Genomic DNA, 20,844 nt, shown 5'->3' with positions numbered 1-20,844 from the left:
TTACATTTTAGTTAGCATAAAACTGAAAACTAGTCTGTTTAGTAATTGGCTTCATTATCTTTTCATTAGAAAAGAGAAAAATCTCAATCCCTAATTTCTTAATTTTTCTCATGCTGTAATGTATTTTAATTATCAATCTTCACTTATATTTTTAGTACTAGATTTCAATGTTTCAATGTTATACCTTCAACTTTAATTGCTGAGTTAAATGTACTTTAGAAATAACTAAGAAAATTTTTTATAGGAACAAACACTGTCTGCATTTCAAGAAAATAGTGTGAGAAGTATCTGTCTACCTCAGGAATGAAATTGTCTGCAGACAGTTTTTTAAAAAGTGGCCAGTAACCAACAGTAACAGCTTCTTGACGATATACTTACAATTTTAAAGTGTTCCTTTTAAAATAAAATTTTGTTAGGAAACTTGCTTACATGAAAGATACATTGTGTTTACCTATACTGATGTTGGTTATAATTCTCTAGATAAATAGGTAAATTTACCAGTGTCACGTTAGGGTGTGAGGTGAATATATAATTTACCAGAATTCATTTTAATTTTTACTTGTAATATCAGCAATAGTTTTTCATCAAAAGGATGATAGAAGACAAATTTTATTTAGATTGTATGGGGAAGATTTTTACATCTAATAAATAAAACTGCCTAGCAGAACATTTTTACATAGTTTTATTATACTATCAATAGATAATGAAGCCCAGTCTTTGAAATATGGTAGTTTATGTAATTCATTCCAAATAAAATCTTTAAACTAGCATGTATCATGATGTCTTTTCTCCCTGCCCCTACCCTGGGTACATTTTTAAGGTTTATGTTCTTGCTCTATAGTAGCAATTATATTCCATTGTAACTTTGAATAGATGATGGTTTAGAGTCTAACATTTTCCCATTCTTTCAGTCTCGATTTTGAAGAGGGAACAGCTATAATGTATAAATAGTGAGTAAGCTGAGGTATGACTGTTAATTCTATCCTCAGCATAGGATGTTTAGCCCATTTTTTTTCTGTTGAATTCTGGTGGTGCTTATTATAACTTGTAAAAAAAAAAAAAAAAAGAAGAATGAAACAAAGAACAAATAAAAAGAAAACTAAAGATGCTTTCTGCTGTGGTTAGGGAGCAGTGTTAGGTATCTGCCTGAAAGGACTTGAAGGACAGAGATGGTAGTGATGCATTCGTAATAGCATGGAGAGACACTTCCTGCTAGGTGTCTTGTTGAACTTTGAATTCATGACAGTGCATACCTGAAGTAATTTTCCTTCTGGTTATCTGTAATTTATTTATTTACTTAAAATTTGAAGTCAGAAGACTTCAGGTACTTAAAATGTTTTTTTCTTTCTGAAAGAAGGATAATTTAAAAATCATGTCTAGAAGTCTGGGCTGATTAAAACAACTCATATTTTCAGGAATAATCTTACTACTTTACAGTTGTCAGTGTCCTTTAAATTCTCATTACCCTTTGGTCTCAAAACAGAAAAATAACTAGTTGACAATGTTATCTTAGTAATAAAATTTTTTTTTTTTTTTTTGAGACGGAGTCTTGCTCTGTTGCCCAGGCTGGAGTGCAGTGGCACGATCTCGGCTCACTGCAAGCTCTGCCTCCCAGGTTCACGCCATTCTCCTGCCTCAGCCTCCCGAGTAGCTGGACTACAGGCAACTGCCACCACGCCCAACTAATTTTTTGTATTTTTAGTAGAGATGGAGTTTCACCGTTTTAGCCAGGATGGTCTCGATCTCCTGACCTCGTGATCCGCCTGCCTCAGCCTCTCAAAGTGCTGGGATTACAGGCATGAGCCACCATGCCTGGCCAGTAATAAAAATTAAGGGGAGGGGGGTGGAGGAGATTAGGTATTGGAGCACCTTGGCACATTTATTGAGATTCAGTTAGTTTGGATCCTTTCATTCAAATACCAAAATGTGTAAAGAAGTATTGTTGCCTACCAAAGTCAAAGATGTTTAAACTGTCAACATGGGTTCTTAAAAGAGTAAAGACTTTGTGGGCTGTATACCTAGCCCAGTACACTGTTGAGTGAAGAGTGTCTACATACTGTCAGAAACTCTGCCCACAAGCTCATTGTTCTAACTGGTAGATGTTTGTTGTAAACTCCGGAAGGAGAAAGCAAGGTATGTGCTGCCTTCAGGATACAGTTGCTGTGCTGTCCTGTACATTTTCAGTTTTATTTCATTTTTAACAAGTAACTTTATGTACTGGGTATTCAAAGCAGTACGTTTTTAACGTATTAGTGAAACAATTTTCAAGATGAGTGATTAAACTATAGAGAGAAATAATCTTTGTAAAAATTAATCCCTCTTAAATCAGTCAAAATGAATGATTGGAGAGCAGTGTGTTGGGGTTATATTTAGTTGTTGGGTTAAAAATTTTATTAGTGGTCATCTATAGTTGCCTCCTTATTTACAAAGCAGCATGTTTTTACTCAAGCTCAGCAAAATTAAGGCCTAATAAGAGGCAATGTAAGGTGGTGGCTAAAAGCATGGGCCTTTCAGTAGCTCTGTGACCTAGATAACTTTCTTAATCTCTTTGCTGCTTCATTTTTAACATAAGAATAATTGTAAATGTACTTCATAGCCATATTACAAAGATTGAATGACAGTGCATAGAAAGCTCTTAGCTCAAGGCCTGGCACATAATAAATGCTCAGGAGTATTAGCTACTATCACTATTATTGATGTTGCTGCTTTGTAATTAGTTTCAATTTTAAAAAGATCCATGTTTTCCTGAATAGAAAATATCTTTCGAAATGAATAGAAAACATGACATTATTAGGAATTCAATTCTGGTGTTTTCCAATACATTAAGTTTTGCCTTTATATTTTATGTAACAAAGTAATAGCTTTACAAAACACTCTAGGTAATTTTAAGATCACATACTATCTATTGTATCTGGAATTTGCAGAGTAATGAGGATGCCCTTGAAATGGCTTCATACCTCTCCGATTTGCTGGAATATTTTAATATTTTTCTTCTAATCTGTTTCTTGAGAGGCACTATGACCTGGGTTGAAAGCGTGGCTGGATGTTTCCATTTCCAGCGATTTGATTTTGGGCAAGTGGCTTAACTTGTGGGGATTTCGATTTCATTATCTTTAACCTGAGGGTCTGAGGCTAAATGGTTTCTAAGGTTTCTTTCAATTCTAAAAATCTGTTTCCAAAAAATAATTCCTCAGTTTTCCAAGTGGCATAACTCACCCTTATCTATACTAAAGAAATAATACATGACAGTAGATTCATAGCTCATGGCAATATGGCTTTCTAATCTATTGAAGAACATTATGTGGCTGAAGACCTTCAGAAAATTTGTGTCCTTTCATGATATTGTAGAATTGTTTATTTGTGTTTTCTTTTTTGAGAAGAACAGAGTGTGCCCAGGACAGCAAATGTGGTGTTCTGGGTTTATTTAGTGCAGTTGGGAAATTGAAGGAATCACTGCACAGTTGACTCTTTGTACTATTAAATGAGCTAGATTTGATGTCAGAAAAGCCGTAAGCAGTGCACTCCTTGCACTCTTGTTGATAAAAATGTTCCCAGTTATTGATGGGAAGTTTATGGTTTTTAGACAGAAATCATATACCTGCATTTCAGGTCATGCTGTCACAAATTCGTCCTAAAGAGTTAACAGCTATATTGATATTCCATGCCACCTTCTAACTCTATGTGAATGGAACACCAAGCAACTGGAAAATTCCACCATGACTGACTTGTGGGCTCAGCACCTGTTCATCACTGATCAAGTAGGTTTAGACAGCAACACTGAATTGGGTAGAAATTGACTGCCGCACTTTACAGGGATCTTCAGTAGAGATGCTATGTGGAAATGCAAGTAAGTAGGAAACATCTGAGTGAGTTTGCTGAAATGAGGAGAAGCTATAGTAAAAGATTAAAATGTTTGTGCCATATTAGTTCATCATGAGTTAAAAGCTAATCTTGAGGGAGATTGTCAGCTAGCTAATAAGCCTTTTATATACATGTAATATGTTTTGGCAAAAATTAATTCTTTTTTGTTTATTAGAATTTTTTGTTTGTTTTAAAACTAAGAACATTTGGATAGTTTGAATCTAAAGCATAGTAAAGTGATTATTATATCCTACCAGAATTTCTTTTGATGTTGATTTAGACATTTTGCTTTTATATTCAGTAATACTTTATCACAGTTAAAAGATTTTATCTTAATTCTTTTTTTTGAGACGGAGTCTCGCTCTTTCGCCCAGGCTGGAGTGCAGCGGCGCGATCTCGGCTTACTGCAAACTCTGCCTCCTGGGTTCATGCCATTCTCCTGCCTCAGCCTCCCGAGTAGCTGGGACTACAGGTGCCTGCCACCACGCCTGGCTATTTTTTTGTATTTTTAGTAGAGACGGGGTTTCACCGTGTTATCCAGGATGGTCTGGATCTCCTGACCTCGTGATCCACCCGCCTCAGCCTCCCAAAGTACTGGGATTACAGGCCGTGAGCCACCATGCCCGGCCCGATTTCATCTTAATTCTAATCTGTTTTATAGGTTCATTTCAGCTCAGTGTTGATTTTAGCTAGAAACCCAGGTGAATCTCCATTTTCCTGTGAATCTCCATTTTACCATAACAGAGAAGCTGCTTTTTAAACCAGTAATTTCTTCACCTTCCCACCCCCACTTCTATTTATTAAATTTTAAAAATGTAGCCTGATTTGGGTGTATTCTTAAAGAAGTCAAGTGTCCTTTCTCCATTTGGTACACAGTTACTGGTTTTTTGAGTGATATATGTACAAGTCACTTAAACTTCTTAGAGCATAAAGAGAGAAAGTGAAAACTTAATTTGGAGGGCATACTCGTAGACCTTGCCTGACTGTGCTCATGTCCAGGCAGGGGGGACAGTGTATGCAAGAATAATTTGGAGTTCCTGCCAGCTCTAACCAGCTTCATCAGTGGCTGGATAAATTGCAGGACTCTAAACATTTCCCTGAAGAAAAAAAGAAAACTTAATTTGGAAATGGTTCTAATTGAAAAACCTCTACTTAGAGTATGGATTTTGATTTTTAAAAATTAAAAATCAAATATTTTGGGCTGGGCATAGTGGCTCACACCTGTAATCCCAGCACTTTAGGAGGCTAGAGTGGACAGATGACTTGAGGCCAGGAGTTTGAGACCAGCCTGACCAACATAGCGAAACTTCATCTCTACTAAAAAGACAAAAAATTAGCCGTGGTTGCAGGTGCTACTTGGGAGGCTGAGGCCTGAGAATTGCTTGAACCTGGGAGGTGGGGCTTGCAGTAAGCCAAGATCACACCGCTATACTCCAGCCTGGTAAACAGAGCGAGAGTCTGTCTCAAAAAAAAAAAAAAAAAATCGAATATTTCACAGGTGATGCAACTTGATATTGAATACTTGGTTGTTTTTTCATGACAATAGTGGGAAGATAGACAATGTAGTATGAAGGGTGTTTGAGGCAGAAGGAACAAAATGAACAAAGGCATGGAAGAGTGGCTTATTTAGGGACTCATGGAGTAATCTGCTATGACTAAGATTTTTCAGTGTTTGGAAGTCAGGTTGGATCCAGTTATAAAAAACCTTATATATTCTAAGCTAAAAATATTACTAGGGAACCATCTAAGTTTGTTTGCTTGTTTTTTTTTAAAGCAGAGTACAAATTTATGTGATTAGATTACCACCTTGGGAATTCTGCCCTGTGGTAGGATAACTTGAAGGAAGAGAGATGTTTGGTTTGTTTCTTAAACACTGCAAGTGAATGGCTGAGGTACTTCCAGTTGGATATGGTTGGTACATCTGTAGAATGGGATCATGGCAAAATTCTTGCCAGAGTGCAAGATTATGGAACTCCAGCTTATTACTAATAACTTCAGGGGTCTAAAAACTTTTTCTCAAAGAATGGGAAGTAAATATCTTAGGTTTGCAGACATTATGTTCTCTCTTGCCCATGAGAGAACTAACTTATTCTGCCATTACAGCTCTAAATTGGAGATAGGCAATATGTAAATTAGTGTGCATGACTCTATCCCAATAAAACTTTATTTACAAAAACATACGGCCAGCACAGGCCAGTTTGCCAACCCCTCTTTTAAACCTTAGTGAGAAGAGAATCAGAGGCAGCAAGAGGAAAGAGATTTCTCAAAGAACATTAGGGAAGCAGGAAAATAGGGAGGAAATGATGACAATGGAAAGGAGCGGGACGTTAAGGGGTAGAGGAAAACCCTGTGGAGAGATTCTATTTTAAAAGATCCTATAGAAATCTAAACACCGATGTTAAGAAATTACTAAATTTTTTAGGTTGTGATAATGGTATTGTGGTTTTGTTCTTCAAAAGTATTCTTATCTTTTAGAGATCTCTACTGAAATATTTGTGAATGAAATGATAGGGTATCTGGAGTTTGCCTCACAATAATCTATTGGAGTTGTCAGAGGAGAGGAACAGATGAAAAAAATAAATAGGCCTTGAGTTGATTATTGTTCAACACTGGATGATGGATACATAGGGATTTATTGAGTTAATCTCTCTGCTCCTGAATATTCCGTAAAACTTCCATAATAAAAAACTGTTTTAGTAAAAGACTTGGATTTGGGATTTGGGGATTAACCTCAGAGTGAAATCCAAAGAGTAATTGGAGAGGAAGATGGATTGCAGAGAGTGGATGGTTGATGAGAGAAGGAGAAGCAGTTTGTGTTCCAGTGAAAGACGAGGAGGGATATGAAGGGAAAAGAAGGTAGGAGAATCCAGTGGCTTCTCAAGGGAGATACTCAGGGGATGGGAATTTTAGAGGAAGTTCTCAGAGGACACAGAATGGATGGGTTTAAAAGCAGGTATATGGTCATTCTTCACCTTATGGACATTTCGTTTTATCCCCATAGACAAGTATATCCAGAATCATGCAATGAAAGGCAGTTTCTCACAAAGTAAAGAAATACATGATGGATTTATATTAAAACCTGTGTGTCTCTTGGTAGGCATTTGTCACAGTATAGCAAGGGAATACAATTCTCATAGTAAGAATCTCTAGAGATTTATAGAATTCAGCGGGAAACATTAAATTGTGCATTCCCTTCTGCAGGATTATTAGCCATACCTTTAAGCTTCTCCCCTTTTCTTCAAACCATCTTTTCAAACTAAAAGGCATGCCCATTATACAATACTTGGAAACTGTAGGACAGAAGAAAGGAGACTTAATCCCCTGTCTTCCCTGGACACAGCTATAGCCAGTAACAAATTTTACTCTGCTTCTCTAGACTGGGCACTACAGCTAAATAATACACAGTTTCTACCCTTCGTGCACTGAAAGTGTACTGAGGGGAAATGGACTGAGAAGCAAGGACAATAATGTTTCCTAGATTAAATGATACATCTGAATTTCTATATTTTAGTATAGATACTCTAAATAAAATACATCTTTTATGTCTTCTTAATTTTCAAATATATCTAACTAAAATTGGGATCTCTATGTTCTTTCCACTTTAAGCTTTCCTCTATTTGATTTTTTTTCTGCTATCATTAATTAAAAACTAAGCAGAAAATGGGTAAGGGATATAAAATATAAAGTATGTTGTATATTATTTTTAGTAAAATGAAGATTTTATTTTATATGACCTGTGGAAACCTTTTACTTGAAATGTGTCTGGCTATACTAAGTATAGATTAGTTCATTTCTTGCTTTTGTTTTATTTTTGTTCTCAAGTTGAGTGACAACTGAGAGTAGTATCAATACCTGTACCTCCCATGGATCAACAGGTACACTCTGTTCTCCCTAATCTGAATTCAGCCAATAATTTGTCATGTTATTTGTGTTTTGTTCTTTTGTTTAAAGGTTACTGAAGAGGTTCTCATTGTACAGAGTATAACTACATGATGTATTCTAGAGCTAGATTGAAAAGCAATCTGTAATTAGCCAACAGATAATTAGCACTTTCAGGATACCACTTTTATCTTATAATTATTTACTCTTAAAATGAGCTAAGTTATCTTCTGTAGTTCACCTGGCATGTGTTCTACTGGTGCATGCACTCATGCTCTCTTTTTAAGTAAGAGATCATCAGTTTTAAGAACACAGAAGTACCAGTAAACTTTCTACCAAGAATGGCCAGTGTAACATGTTCATTTAGATTAGTGTTGCCAGTCTCTCTGTCTCCTTTTCTCTTTGAAGTGTTGTTTGCCAAATGATATGGTAAGTTCAAATTACTCTTTAGGTATTTCCTTTTCATTTTTAAATTGCCAAGCACTGTACTTTCCAATTAGGTTCTAAAATTCAATGTTAAGTGGAAACATTTGTTAAATTTCTAAAGCATAAAATATTTGATTATTCTCTTCTTAGATGTTAGTTTACATAATTAATAGTGGGTTTTTATTTAATATGTGTTATGTTTTAGCTCTTTGATCAGGTATACACATTATCTTGAGTTTTCACATCCAAAAAATTATATACACACTGTTCACAGGCTTAATGTGAAGAATGTGATGTAAGCTATGTTTAAATTATTCTTATAAAAGTGACTTTTGACCTATGATTTGATAGTATTCAGCTGTTAAGTCATACATGTAATGTATCATTTTTGTTTTTAAGTTTGAGGTCTCACTATGTTGGCCAGGCTGGCCTCCCCTGACCTCAAGCAGCCCTCCCACCTCAACTTCCCAAAGTGCTGGGATTACAGGCATGTGCCACCAGACCCAGCCTTATCCTTATTTTTAGAGTGGATTTTTGATGTATTGAAAACAAACTGTATTATTCACATAGGCTTTCTTCAATCCATTGCTAATTGTTTGCTGAATGCATAGCAAAGTCCTTGTGGAAATAAGTTTGTTTTTATAATCTTTTTCTTTTTGTCCTCTTTGTAAATGGCCTGAACAGTACACTATATAATAATAGCTAACGTTGGTGGGGTTAGGGAACACTCTGTTAAAAATATGTTGATGTATTATCTAGTAAAAGGTGAGAAAAATCTTCATTTTAAGAGTAAAAATATGTCACATGCCTGGCATGGTGGCTCACACCTGTAATCCCAACACTTTGGGAGGCCCAGGTGGGAGGATCACTCAAGGCTAGAAGTTCGAGACCAGCCTAAGCAACAAAGCAAGATCCCTCTCTCTACCAAAAAAAATTAAAAATTAGCTGAGTGTGGTGGCATGCACCTGTAGTCTGTAGTCCTAGCTACTCATGAGGTTGAGACAGGAGGATTGCTTGAGCCCAGGAGTTTAAGACTGCAGTGAGTTATCACTGTACCACTGCACTCCAGCGTGGTTGGCAGAGTAAGACCCTGTCTCTTTAAAAAAAAAAAAAAAAAAAAATTAAAAAGTCTAGTACAGTCTGAGAATTTTTTCCAGTCTTTTTATTGTGTCATTTATACTGATATAATCAAAGACAAATTTTATTTCTAATTGACACATTGCAGTTGTATTTATGGGGTACAAGTTGATGTTTTAATATGTGTGTATATTGTATAATGATCAAATTAGGGTAGTTACGGTACCTGTTACTTCATGCATTTATCATTTTTTTGTGGCAAGAGCATTCAAAACCATTCCTAGCTGTTTTGTAATATATAATAATTTACTGTTAACCATAGATACCCTAGTGTACCATAGAACACCAGAACTTATTCCTTCTATCTACCTATTAACCAACCTCTCCCCATCCTCCTCATTCCCATCCCCATCCTCTCCCCAGTCTCTGGGTAATCACTGTTGCACTCTCTACTTCTATGATAGCAACATTTTTTAGATTCCACATGTAAGTGAGATCATACATTATTTGTCTTTCTGTGTCTGGTATATTTCACTTAACATAATGTCCTCCAGTTTCATTAATGTTGTTGCAGATGGCAGGATTTTATTTTTTATGACAGAATCATATTCCATGTGTATATGTGCCACATTTCCTTTATTTTGTCTGTTATTGGACACTTAGGTTGATTCTGTATCTTGGCTATTGTGAATGGTGCTCAATAAATACAAGATATCTCTTCAACATGTTGATTTCATGTCCTTTGGATATCTACCCCATAGTGGGATTGCTGGATCATATGGTCGTCATATTTTTAATGTTTTGAGGGATGCTTCCATACTGTTTTCCATAGTGGCTATACTAATTTATATCCCCACTAACAGTGTATGTGTTCTCTTATCCACGTTCTCACCAACGCTTGTTTTCTTTTGTCTTTTTGACAGTAGCCATTCTAACTGGAATGAGATGGTATCTCATTGTGGTTTTGATTTGCATTTCCCTGATAATTAGTGGTTTTGAACATTTTTCATATACTTGGCCATTTCTTTGTCTCTTTTTGAGAAATGTGTTAAGATATTTTGCTCATTTTTTAATTGGATTACTTGGGGTTTTTTTTTAGTTGTTTGAGTTCCTTTGCAGTTATTTTAGGTTTTTTTGCAGTTCTTTTAGTATATATTTTAGATATCTCTTGTCAGATGTAGTTTGCAGATGTTTTCTCCCATTCTGTAGGTTGTCTCTTTGCTTTGTTTCTTTTGCTGTGCAAAAAGCTTTTGAGTTTGATGTAATGTGTCTTTTCTTTTGTTGCCTGTGCTTTTGAGGTCTCATTTAAAAATACTTGCCCAGCCCAGTATTATGAAGCATTTCCCCTACATTTTCTTCTAGTAGTTTCATACTTTTTTTTTTTCATTAAGTCTTTAATCCATTTTGAATTGATTTTTGCATATGGTGAGAGAGAGGGGTCTAACCTCATTACATGTGGGTATTCAAGTTTTCCAGCACCATTTATAGAAGAGACTGTGTTTCCCCAGTGTGTGGTATTGCCACCTTTGTCAAAAATCAATTGCCCGTGATGTGTGAATTTCTGGGCTCTCTGTTCTGTTCCGTTGTTCTGTGTGTCTGTTTTTATGCCAGTAGCATGCTGTTTTGGCTCCTATAGCTTTGTGTAGTATGTTTTGAAGTCAAGTAGTATGATGTCTCCAGCTTTTTTATTCTTACTCAGGATTGCTTTGGCTATTCAGTGTCTTTTGTGGTTCCATATGAATTCTAGGATTATTTTTTCTATTTCTGTGAAGAGTGTCATTGGTATTTTGATAGAGGTTGCATTAAATCTGTAGACCACTTTGTATAGTATGGCCGTTTTAGCAGTTCTTCCAGTTCATGAACAGCAGATAGCTTTCCATTTACCCACATCCTCTGCAGTTTCTTTCATCAATGTTTTATCATTTTCAGTGTAGAAATCTTTCACTTCCATTATTAAGTTTATTCCTGGGTATTTATTTTTTCGTAGCTATTGGAAATGGAATTGTTTTCTTGATTTTTTTTTCAGATAGTTCACTATTAGTATTTAGAAACACTACCAATTTGTATATGTTAATTTTATATCCTGCAACTTTACTGAATTTATTCTAACACTTTTTTGGTGGAGTCTAGGATTTCCTATATATGATATATCATCTGCAAATGGGACAACTTCTTCCTTTACAATTTGGATACCTTTTATTTCTTTCTCTTGCCTAATAGCTCTAAGACTTCTAGCACTGTGTTGAATGGAAGTGGTGAAATTGGGCATACTTGTCTTGTTCCTGATCTTAGGGGAATAGCTGAAAGCATAACATCAGTATGTTTGTCATATATGGCCTTTGTTGTTTCAAGCTGCATACTTTCTATACCTAATTTAGTGAGCATTTCAGAAACAAACTTTAATAATTCTTTAGCTTTAGTGTTGTTTGCTTTCTACCTGGATCATGGGGTTAACAGAATTTGAAAATAGAGTGATTTCATTTTAAAAGGAGATTTTAGATTAGTAAGAAATTGTTACTCTCTGATTTTATTTCTCCATTTGTTTCTTCTCAACCCTGAGATGAAGATCCTTCTGATATCTTCTAAGATAAAATTTGTTCAGCATTTAGAGCATTATTTTTTTCTATTTAGTCCTCTATTGTACTAGTACCTATTGCTGCCTAACACATTATCCTAAAACTTAATAGCTTAAAATAACAAACATTTATTACCTCAGTTTCTGTGCTCAGAAATCCCATTGTAACTTACCTGGATGCCTCTGACTTGGGGTCTCTCCCAAAGCTGCAGTCAAGCATCAGCCAGGGCTGTAGTCATGTCAAGGTTCTAATTGGGGAGAATCTGCCTCCATACCTACTAATAGTCCATTGGCAGACCTCAGGTCCTTCGTTAATAGCTGGAGACATCCTTGCAGCATGTCTCTCCATAGGACAGTTTACACTAGCTGTGGAAGTTGGCTTCCTTCAGAGCCTGGCAAGCAAGAGAGTACCAAGATGGAAGCTACAGTCTCTTTGTAACCAAATCTCAGAAGTGACATCTCATCACTCTTGCCATATTTTATTTATTAGAAGCAAGGGACTAGGTTCACCCAGACTCAAGGGGAGGGAATTAAACAGGAGCATGAGTACCAGGAGGTGGTGATCTTTGGGTTCCATCTTAATGGCTGCTTGCCATATCTGCTATAAGTACTTTGAAACTTCTAGAGCTTTTCCATTTTTACTGTGTCATCTTCACAGAATTAGGATGATAAAACTCCTGTTCAGATAAAATTCCCTGTGCTTAGCTTGCTGGTGTCTCACAATCTTGAATTAATCATTTTATATAGAATTAGACTCCAGGAAGGGGTGCAGACCAAGACAGAGATAAAGGAATATTTATTTGCAGTTTTAGTTGTATAGCCTTTTCTAGTTATTTAAATAAGAAGCTTTGTTAAAACTCTAACAAGAATGTGTACAGTTGGTACTAGAAAGTGTACAATTGGGAATGGTCTATGCTCTTTTCATTATGTAAATTCTAACGTTTGTTTTGTTCAGTATTGGTAAAGGTTTTCAAGGTGTCATGAAAAGATGGGGATTTAAAGGCCAGCCTGCTACGCATGGTCAAACGAAAACCCACAGGAGACCTGGAGCTGTTGCAACTGGTGTGAGTATAACTAGTGAAGCTCTTTTTAATGCTAAATATTCAACTTCTGCACATGTAGTCCTCAGTCCGTCCTTGATATGAAGTCACATAATTTTAGTCTGACACAAGGGGACTCCATGTACTTGTCACCCTTTTATGGATCCTTGCCCCTCACTCATTTCCCAGAGCCAGACTAGAATTAGTTATATTCCACAAGGTTAGCTGAGCATCTGTAGTTTGGCTGTATATACCCTGAGTCTAAATTTAAAATGTACTTTGTGCAAATGTTGAATTCAGTTTGTCTTTTGAATTAGTATCAGTTAACAATTCTGAAATAATTTTCTGTGAATTGTAGGATTGAGTAGATAAGTAAATGTATTGATAATGGAGCTAGGTTTCTCACTGTTGGAAAAGGGCGTTAAAGTATGAAAATGGGAAAATTAAAATGAACCCTATAGTGTTGAATTCAAACTATAAGTATGCATATACTGTTTGGTGGGGGAGGGGAATGCATGCATGCACACAAGGAAAAAATGTAGCACACAGAGAAACAGAGGGGTGTGTGTGTGTGTGTCTTAGTTCTGTCTACTGGAACATTGTAGTCATATATAACGGAATATATTTGTAGAATGAATAAGAGTGATACTTAGTCTGTAATACTCAGAATTGTCTTTTAAGCCTGTTGGTTACATATTAAACATATCTAATGCCATGATGAGGTACTTCCACTGAGAGTTTCACCTGTTAATGTGAGAGCAGCTGATGGAAAAGTGTTTATATTGTGAGAATTCATGTGTTATAAGAAGCTGTTCCATTTTAGTCATAATTCAGATTTGCTTCTTTAGATGTAGAACTATTACCCGTTATCAGAGCCAAAATCAGAGACTGTTAGATTTATGTAAATCAGAGAAAACCAGGGCTAGACAAACTAGTATTCTGATAACTAACTCTGTCCTTGAATAATTTTGGTCAAGGAAAGTAACATCTAAAGCAAGGAGCAGTAGGACCATTCCAGCACCAGTGGTATGGATGAAGTCCATTAAGTCAGTTAATACAGAAGATGAGTTCAAAACAGGCCTGGCAGTCCATTTTTTTTCTTTGAATGATGGTGTCGGTGTGTCTGTATGCCCTTGTCCTTTTTTAATTCTTAGCCAGTATTAGGTCCGTTGTTGCTGAGTTTTTCTCCTAAATCTGCTTCTTAGTCTGTATTTATTTTATCATTCTAGTCTCATTAGAAAGGAAATCCTCTAGGAGTAAATATGCCTAAATCCATATTTAGTTCCTTACTTGGGACCTAGCAGAATAGGGGAAAAATAAAACATTTTAATAATTTATATTTTTAGTTTACATTGTGGTTTGATCAGTGCTGTTTAAAATTGATAGTACTTAAAAGTGTTAACTTTAGTTTTCTCATTTAGGATATTGGCAGAGTCTGGCCTGGAACTAAAATGCCTGGAAAAATGGGAAACATATACAGGACAGAATATGGACTGAAAGTAAGTGTTACAAGTGGTTCTTTTTAGGAACAGCTAAATTGTCTAAATGCAAAGGCAGCAGAATATGTATTTAATCTGTGTCTGTACCATTGTTCTAAGAGGCTTTAAAATTATTGAGGAAAAGAGGATACATGAATTGTGTGTGTGTGTGTGTGTGTGTGTACACTCTAGTTGTAGTAATGGTGGTAGTAATGATAGGGTATATTTCAGGCCATGAAAAGTGCAGTCATTAAAGAGACAAAATTAGTAGTCCACTCTTGGACCTGGAAGATTTTTACAAGATATTGTTGCATGAAAAAAGTAAGATTCAGAGCATTCAGTATAATACTCTTTATTGAGTAAAAGATTTAACAAAAGCTCTCTACGTGTGTATGTTGCTGTGCCATCATATAATCACAGAAGAGTGGAAGGGTATATACCAGGTTCTTGGATTATATATCAAATGTGTGTGTGTGTGTGTGCGTGTGTGTGTGTAAGTGTAAGGAGGAGAGTGGGAGGCAATCAAAATAGGAGGAAACAATAGCACTACAAAAGGATTATGATATACATCCGTTTTTATAAAAAATGTCTGTGTATATTTAAAAGAGAAGTTGAATTCAATCTCTACCAATGAGAAATGTACCTAAGTAAAACTGAGTTATACTATAATGGATGCTGTATAATTATATTTCTGTTAAACAACTAATGTTTATATTTGTTTGCATGTATGTTTTAAAGTGTAGGAAGTACAAAGAAGAAAATAAGCCACCAATAAGAACAATACCCAAAGACAATCACTGGAAACATTTTGGTGCATATCCTCCCAGTCTCTATTCTGCATACCTTTTATATATAAATTTTGACCAGGAGAAGTTTTCAAATTTTATATAATTAAACCTAAGATTTTTTTTACCCCTTCTATTACATTTATACTTATCAGAGACCATCTATTTGCTGTATTTTCTTCGTGTGTGTGATTTCAATTTTTGTAATATTTAATACTTATTCATTATTAGATAGGAGCCATGGGTCAAACTTGATTCCTTATCCAAATATTTTATTTTCTCAGTACCATTTTTTGACCAATCATTCTCTCCCATTTATGTACGTTTTTTCTCCACATGAAGATTTTTTGAGGACCATCTACTCAGCCCACTTACTTTAGAAATTAGAATCAGTGAGGTTGTGGCTTCTCCAGCCTCTAGTTACAGCAAGCTAGTATTAACTAAAAATAAAATAAAATTGAATTTCCACTTGTTATTGTTAATGGTGCCAACAGAGTCCTTTGAAATATCCAAATAGTCTTGATCATTCAGTCACATCTCTATTTAAAATGAGAGTTTTCTACTACTTCCATAAGATATATTTGCTATGGTCTTCTATTACAAGTCATCCATAGGACTTGAAGTTTTTCAGTTCTTATTCAACATTCTGAAGTACTGGTAATAATCTTTTATTACTTTACAAGCAACTTACATCCTCAGCTTTTAGTAACATTGTTTTAATACAAGTATATCCTAAAATTTTTGGTTTTATTTCATGCTTTAGGTGTGGAGAATAAACACAAAGCACAACATAATCTATGTAAATGGCTCTGTACCTGGACATAAAAATTGCTTAGTAAAGGTAAGTATAAGTGTCTTCTTTTTTTTTCCTTTTTTTTTTTTGTTTCTTACTCGCAAGCTAACAAATTACTATCTTTATTTTCTATTGTTTATATATGTGGATATTTGCCATAAAGTCTCCTTTTTCTCATATATGTGGCTTATAAATAAATGGCTGTTTTTCCACATGTTCTCTCCTGAATCTTTCTGCTTTTTAGTAGCACCTGAGTGAAAAAAATGCACAAGATAACCTGTATTCTATTTCTTTCAAACCAAGAACCTGTAAAAAGGGTAAGGCTGTGTATTAGTCCATCCTAATAGAATGGATGGACTCCTATAAAGAAATACCTAAGATTGGGTAATTTATAAATAAAAGAGGTTTAATTGGCTCGTGGTTCCACAGGCTGTTCAGGAAGCATGGCTAGGGAGGCCTCAGGAAACTTACAATCATGGCAAAAGGGGAAGGAGAGATGGACATGTCTTACATGGCTGGAGCAGGAGGAAGAGAGGGAAGGGGGAGGTGCTACACATTTTTAAACAAGATCTTGTGAGAACTCACTATCACGAGAACAGCAAGGGGGAAGTCTGCCCCCATGATCCAATCACTTCCCACCAGGCCCCTCTTCTAACATTGGGGATTACAATTTGACATGAGATTTGGGCGGGGACAAAAATCCAAACCATATCAGGCCAGTAAGCAGAAAGATCTTCAGGAATATGAGAAGGATATTTGGAAAACTATTGCCAAAATACCAGTATATCTCTGTCCTTCCAAAAGGAACATGTTAGCTTTTTAAAGTGCCCCATCTACAAATGAATGGATAAAGAAGATGTGGTGGGTGTGTGTGTGTGTGTGTATGTGTGTGTGTGTGCGCGCGTATGGCTGAAGAATATTCTAGAGAATGCACACACACGCTAGAATAATCTTCAGCCATAAACAGAATGAATTGCTATTGTTTGTGGTGACATGGATAAACCTGGAGGACATTATGTTAAGTGTAATAAGCTAGGCACAGAAAGACAAATATTGCATGATCTCACTTTTATGTAGAATCTAAAAGTTGATTTCATAGAAGTAGAGAACAGAATGGTTTTACCAGAGGCTGGGGGAAAATAGTGGGGAGGAGAGCTGGCGGAGGTGGTCTACAAGCACAGAGTTAGTTAGGAAGAATACATTCCGGTATTCTGTTATATAGTAGGGTGACTGACTATAGCTAATAGTAAGGTATATTTCAATATAGGTAGAAGAGAGGATTTTGAATGTTATCACCATAAAAGAAATGATACATGTTTAAAGTAATGGATATGCTAGTTATCCTGATTTTATCATTATACAATGTATATTTATTGAGACATCACACCATACATATATATGTACAATTATGTGTCAATTATAAGTAAACCCTGCCCCCACCCCCCCCCAAAAAAAATGCTTTTTGGCTTTTAAAAGAGTTACTTTGACAAACCAGAAATACATGAGGTAAAAATTGGAATCATCAAAAGTGGTTAAAGGTAGACATTTGAGGGGGAGCTTTTTTATTATTACTAACACCATGCTCTGATTATATCTTTTAAGTGTTTTTCTTAAAAAAAAGAAAAAAGTAAAAAATTTGTACCGATAGCTCAGATACATTTTAATAAAAACTCTTTAAGTTCTCAGAGACTTACTTCCATAAAATAGAAAATAAATATTCTGCCTGGGGTTTATTCCAACCTAATACAAATTTTCTTACCTCTGAGTTTTGAATCTTCCATGCTGAAAATAAGTTTGTATTAGAAGTTATGTCAGCTGTTCTCCAGAGTATACTCTTCATTGATTTTCCAATGATAGCAGCAAAGAAATAGTGAAACTTAATCCTCTGATTTTTTAAACTCAGTGTTTCCTTATATATTTTTTTTCATTTCTAGGTTCCATTACTAGCATAGGGAATAATTTTTTGAAATCTTGCAAGGAATAAGAATTTTGCTTTTTAAAATTACCTTTCTGAGACACTTCACTTACTGACTGGATTATTCTCATTTTTGTTAAAGAAAAAAATGCATTTAAGCCAGGCCTGGTGGCTTGCATCTGTAATTCCAGCTACTCAGGAGGCTGAAGTGGGAGGATAGGATCACGTGGCCTCAGGAGTTGGAGGCTGCAGTGAGCTGTGATCACACTATTGCCTTCTAGCCTGGGCAACAGAGTGGGACCTTGCTTAAAAAAACAAAAAAAAAAAAAAAAGAGAGAAAAAGAAAAATGTATTTGATGAATTTTTGTAAGTTTTGTTTTTTCCTTAAGTTTGCAGGTTTTTAAGTTTAAGTAGGTTTCTAGTCCCCAAGTAAGGCAGTCATACTTACAATGACAGATAGTTGAAGCCAGAGTATTGTCATTGTACTTCCCGTGGTATTTTGTCTTCATAATTCATGTGAAGACATATCTTCATATCCCTAGCCCCACATTTCAGATCACAGGTTATAAATAGCACAACCTGATAAAGGAGAAGGATTATTTTTTATAATAAAAGTATACTGGACACCAGATTAATTTTTAAATGTCAAATCCTCCTTTTCTGCCTATTTTTCTACATACATGATTCTAGGCTGGTTTTCTAGCTGAACCTTACCATTAATTGCTGTGACTTCTCAAGTACTACTACAACATCTTCTCAAGTACTTCTACAATATCCCTGTTACCAGCAGAGATGAATGGTCAATTATCTTGAAAAACTGTAGTACATACAATGACATTCTGATGTAGTTGTATAAATAGTTGATAACCAGTAACATTTATTACTCAGATTTATCGCCTACTTCAGTAAAAGATTACTTCCAAAAACTCTATTCACTCTCAATCGATAATAGTTTGCCATCACTGAAGATACTCAGAAGATACACCAAAGAGTTCTGAAACGGGAGTCTAAATACATTTTGAGAAACTGGCATCAGAACAATGTCTAGTCCCTTTTGAACTATTAACACACTAGTGAATATATTTCCAGCAAGTATATTTGTATAATAAACACGTCCTTTAAAAAAATCTTTGAAATATGGTGCTTAAATAACTTTCTTTTGTAACCTTAAAGTATCTGCCCAGGCATTAATTAAGGTATGAATTTGGGGAACATTTTATAGGTTTGTGTTTTAAATGGTAAAACTTGCTATGTCCTTTCACTCCATTATTTACGTTCTTCCAGTGACTCCGTAGCAGGTAAATTAGTCCTTCCTTGCCTATGGGTTTTGAGCCACTTCCTAGTGGGCAGCCAACTTTGTTAACATCCACTCACTTCTTGGGAGCTTTTGTTTCCTCAGAGTACAGGGTTACCAATAACTTTTTTTTAAGATTCCAAAGTTAGTAAAGATAGTCTTAGAGATGACCAACCTATTTAATTGGCATTAGCTTTTTGTTTTGCTGTTTGGATTCACTAAATGTATTAATGAAGACTAAAGAACTATTGTTTACAGCATAATAAGTATAAATGTATGTTCTAAAGTACGGTTCATTCGTGTTCATTCCTGTGTCCTATATATCATTTATTTTCAGATTTGCCTGGCTTTTGTCTGTCCTTCCCCCACATTTTCTTAAAAGATTTAGACTGGTTTGCTGATAGACATAAAAAGAATGAGGTAGATAATTGAGGGAGTCTTGGTGCAGGCAGGGAAATAATAAACCTGAGGTAAGATTAAATACACAAAAATACATATGGGCTGCAGACCTTTGGCCCTCAACTTTTGCACCACTAAGACAAAAATGGTTGAGATGTCATTTACGTTTCAGATCCATGAATTATAATACTTAGATTTTACAAACAGTGATTCCGTCGTCTAAAATATTTCTCAGGTATAATAGTTCTATAAAAGTGTGAAAGCAACTGAGAGTTATCTCTTTGGGTCATTGATGACTAAATTTTTATTTCTCAAATTAGCACAGAAAGTTTTGTTGTGATTGGTTTTATTGTTTTTTTTGCTTGGGTTTTATTTTCAATCCTAAATACTGAGCAAGTTTAAATTGGTAAGAATATGACTTTTTCCCTTCTTAAAGTTCAACCTAAGATTAATGGATTGGGGGGACAAAACTAAACAAGTTTACTTTCTTCTGGGTAATTTACTGATAATTTCTTGAAACAATTTTAATAAGAGGGATTAAAGTAGATCTGTTTTTCTGTACTAAGCTGTTCCTAGCAGCTGTGTACTTTATTTCAACCAAATTATTCATTTCTTATTGCTAAAGTAATTATGCCTCATTTTACTCGTGTATATAATTACATGTAATTTTTTTAAAAACTTTACTTATGAATGAAGGCTGTAGAATGAGTCAGAAGTTCTGAAGAATCCAATAATGTTTTCCAAAAATAAAACTCAACATTTTAGATCACATCAGTACCTATATTAAAATTCTTCAGTCTGTGAATTCACAGATATAATTAGAATTTTTGAGAATATATAGAGTTAACAGAGCTCTTATAAAGACCCATAGGTCTGTTATTGTTTTTGCTAAATATTATTCTGTCTTTAACTTATCAATAAGAATGTATGCTCTGACATACATTGTGCTGCATTTGTTGTATATGAAGATAGGATTGGTTCTTGTTGCTCACACCTATAAGCAGAAAAATGCACTAAGGCCATGGAAGTATTCAGTGCTAAATCAAGAATGATATAAAATAGTCTCAACTTAAAGGCCCTTACCCAAATTTGAAAATGCTGAAGAATTAACTTTAAATTTTCCGTCAATACAGGACTTTTTTTTTTTTTTGACCATGTGACATAGAAATACAATCTTGTTTGTTTTATTTGTTGGAGAAATGACTCTTTTGGTAGGGGAAGAAAAATGTAAGCTGATTTCCTTAATAAGAGGTGATATTTTTGATTATGTGCTCTTAGAGTTAAGACTAACAAAAATGCTAGTTTGTCAGGTCATTATATTT

General features: G+C 35.1%; 1 protein-coding gene and 1 non-coding gene across 2 annotated transcripts in view; both read left to right on the top strand.

The window, feature by feature from the left end:
• The window catches only part of MRPL3 (mitochondrial ribosomal protein L3), a 40,760-nt gene that overhangs the window by 18,919 nt on the left and 997 nt on the right, over nt 1–20,844 (top strand). The window contains exons 7-9 of the mRNA NM_007208.4: nt 12,774–12,882; nt 14,280–14,357; nt 15,885–15,962. Coding sequence (NP_009139.1) covers nt 12,774–12,882; nt 14,280–14,357; nt 15,885–15,962 — 265 coding nt within the window. The remainder of the gene's footprint in view (nt 1–12,773; nt 12,883–14,279; nt 14,358–15,884; nt 15,963–20,844) is intronic.
• SNORA58 (small nucleolar RNA, H/ACA box 58) lies at nt 4,820–5,055 on the top strand. The gene has a single exon (NR_002985.2). It is a non-coding gene; the product is annotated as a small nucleolar RNA, H/ACA box 58 (small nucleolar RNA).

The sequence above is a fragment of the Homo sapiens genome, chromosome 3 (genome assembly GCF_000001405.40).
Source record: "Homo sapiens chromosome 3, GRCh38.p14 Primary Assembly".
In the NCBI taxonomy this organism is placed as follows: Eukaryota; Metazoa; Chordata; class Mammalia; order Primates; family Hominidae; genus Homo; species Homo sapiens.
Note: the sequence above shows the minus strand (reverse complement) of the source record. Positions and strands in the feature narration are given on the sequence as shown.